General features: G+C 46.9%; 1 annotated feature.

The window, feature by feature from the left end:
• Positions 2,643-3,090: a silencer, noted in NCBI's record as "fragment chr10:24847550-24847997 (GRCh37/hg19 assembly coordinates)". NCBI's record gives its function as "represses an EF-1alpha promoter that drives an FKBP-Casp9 reporter gene in an ReSE screen in phorbol 12-myristate 13-acetate-treated (for megakaryocytic differentiation) K562 erythroleukemia cells {active_cell/tissue: K562(+PMA)}" and the evidence as "EXISTENCE:reporter gene assay evidence [ECO:0000049][PMID:32094911]".

Below are 3,325 nucleotides of genomic sequence, written 5' to 3'. Positions count from 1 at the left end.
TTACAAAGCACTTGGCATCCATGCACTGTTGTCTTAGTCTGTTGGGGCTGCTGTAACATAATACCTCGGTGGCTCATAAACAACAGAAAGATTTATTTCTCACCGTTCTGGAAACTAAAAATCCAGAATCAAGACACTGAGGCTTGTGCTGGCAGATTTCTTGTCTGGTGGGGCCCACTTCCTGGTTCATACATGTCTGTCTTCTCACTGTGTCCTCACATGGTAGAGGGGGCAAGGGAATGCTCATTATCATGTTCATAAAGGCTAATCCCACACCTGAGGGCTCCTCCCTCATGACCTAATTACCTCTAAAGGCCCCATCTCCTAATACCATCACATTGAGAGTTTGGATTTCAACCTAAGAAGTTGAGGGAGACAAACATTTTGTCCACAGCAACTGTCATTCTTTAAAAACAGGTAAATAACCTGAAAGATATATTTGCACAAGAGAAAACTGACTTATGCATGTTTGGGACCTAGGATACACAGAAGATATTCCTTCTAATCAAAGTAACCACGGAGTATTTAAAAAAAATAAAAAAATACAACTAAGTCAGTCATATGGAAGTCTGTCTTCACAGTAACTTATCATCTGGGTCGTCTTGGAACTAGTAATCATGATCCTGCTAAGATAAAGCAACCAGTGGGGAGGCTGAGGGCTGCCCTGATTTTCTTCCAAGGTCAGTGCACACTAATAGGTGGTGGGAAGGAAGAGACATGAGCACATAGCAGGCAGGAGCTCTTCTGGGGATGCAGGAGGAGGCAAGCTACTGGCTCTCCACTGTCTCCCCTGATGCCATCTACTCCCAAATCTGGGGGGCCACTTAGAAACAAAAATCAGGGATTCTTAGCTCAGGGACCTGGAATATGGTCAAAACTGTGAACAGGCCTCAGGAGAGGGCCCATTGCTTTCAGTTGATTCTCCAAGGGGCCATGATGCTGATAGGTTTGAGACCTCTTTCCTCGGGCCACTTGCTCCAGCCTGATGCTGTTGTCCCACAGCAAAGCCAGGCAGAGCTGTGCAGAGCAGCCCCTTGTCACCCCAACAGCTCCCCATCCCAGCTGAGCTTCAGAATCCTGGGCAACTTCTAACCGGGGGCCGATGAGCTTTTAAAGCCCACAGTTAATTCTCATAGTGGCTACAGTGAAGAGCCATGGGTTTGCCTCCTATTCCCATTCTGAGTACTGGGATGTGAGGACAGGACTCTGCACCCTGTGATGGCTGAAATTCTGACTCTGCTTGTAACAGGGCAACTTATATTAAAGCAAACATGGAAGGGCAAAAGTTTGCAGAGGCGAAACATGGGAGCAGAAAAGAGGGAGGGAAAAGAGGGAGGAAAAGAGGGAGGGAAAAGAGAGAAAGGTGGCCACTTGCAAATGAGGAATGGGATGCTCCATTTCCTTTTTCCCCAACTGAGGTCACCCTATGTCAGAGTCAGCTGCCAGTGTAGGACTTATTTAAAAGAGAATGGCTTTTGAGTATAAAACATGACACCACCTACTCACTCACTGGCATCTTCCATGGGCCAAGAACAGAAGTGGTCAAACCCCATCCCTGTCCTCACAGGGATCTGAGTGAAAGAGATATAAACACCCAACAAATAAGGTGTGGAATTAAGGCAGAGCTGCTCAGCCTGGGCACACCTGATACATTGAGCCAGATCATTCCCTATTGTGGGGGTGGGGGCTGCCTTGCAGCACCTCTGGGCTCTACGGACTAGATATTGGTAGCACACCATCACCCTAGCTGCGAGAACCAAAAACATCTCAGACACTGTCAAAATGTCCCCTGGGGGTGGTGGGGGGTGCAAAATCACATCAGGTTAAGAACCTCCAAGGTAGAGCTGTGGTCTCCAGAAGTTTAAGGCATCAGTTCTGCCGGGGGAAATCAACAGAGGCCACAGAGAACTCAGAGCCCATCCGAAATACCACCACCCCAGGCCCAGGCCTTCACATAGTGCCAATGTCTGAGAGCCTGGACTTGGGAAGAACTGACAGTAGAAATTCAAACAGACCCCCAAGCAGCGCTACCTTCTTTGGTAGCATGTGACTCTCTGTTAGAGATGAAAATTCCAGGGCTGCATGAGGTGGCTCATGTCTGTAATCCCAGCACTTTGGGAGGCTGAGGAGGGAAGACTGCTTGACCCCAGGAATCCGAGACAAGCCTGGGAAATATAGTGAGACCCTGTCTCTACAAATAATAATAATAAAACTTAGTGTGCCTGTATAGTCCCAGCTACTTGGGAGGCTGAGGAAAGAAGATCACTTGAGTCCAGGAGTTTGAGGTTGCAGTAAGCTATGGTCATTCTACTGCACTCCAGCCTGGGTGACAGAACAAGACCCTGTCTCTAAAAAAAAAAGAGACGAAAGAAAATTCTACATAGCTCCCCCAACCATCCTATGGCATTGGGAGAGAATAAGGGTTACCCACAAGCTGAGAGTTACTGATCCACAGGTAATGTCTTTGCTTATTCATCAGGCAAAACGTTATTGTGGAATAGCAGGTGAAGTTGGAGATGTTGACAGAGCCTGCAGGCCCTAGAAAAATTTTGGATTTTATTTAAATGCACATGGAATGGTCGGTTGAATCAAACAGGTGGAAATGTGACAGGGACAGGGATATATATATAAATTTGTCTGAGTCCAAAATAGCAATTGCACAAGTATAGAACAGTGGCTACATGGCTTAGCTTTTGCACAGGTGGAAGAGGCTCAGGGGCTTTTGATGACAGCCTTTATCAAGTGAACCATCGGCAGCTGCTACTCAGAATTTAATGCAGTCATAGGTGCTCAACTAGAAACACAACGTGCAAGCTAAGAGATGGAACACGCCCAGTAGGTTCTGCCTGCCGACGTTTGTTCAGATTTTGATAAAATACACCATCATCTACTCCTAACTACCTTTTCTGAATTGAACCATTGCTTTGGTTAGCTTACCTGAGTAAGGACCTTCCCCAGTTCATACATTTTTTTCCTTTAGAGACAGGGTCTCACTCTGTTGCCCAGGCTGGTGTGCAATGGTGCGATCAGGGCTCACCACAGCCTCCACTTTCTGGGCTCAAGTGATCCTCCAGCCTCAGCCTCCTGAGTAATTGGGACTACAGGCACACACCACCATTTTCTTTTTTTTATAGAGACGATGTCTCGCTACGTTGTTCAGGCTGGCCTCGTATTCCTGTGCTCAAGTGATCCTCCTGCCTTGGCCTCCCAAATAGTGCTTTTTAATCCACATACTTTTTAATCCACACACTTACAGCTTCTAGCTCCTTCAGCCCTGCGGTGGACAGCAAGACTTCCTCCAGAAATTCCAAAATGTGGAAATGAA

This window comes from Homo sapiens, chromosome 10 (assembly GCF_000001405.40).
Source record: "Homo sapiens chromosome 10, GRCh38.p14 Primary Assembly".
Lineage (NCBI taxonomy): Eukaryota > Metazoa > Chordata > Mammalia > Primates > Hominidae > Homo > Homo sapiens.
This window is presented reverse-complemented; position numbering and strand designations above follow the sequence as displayed.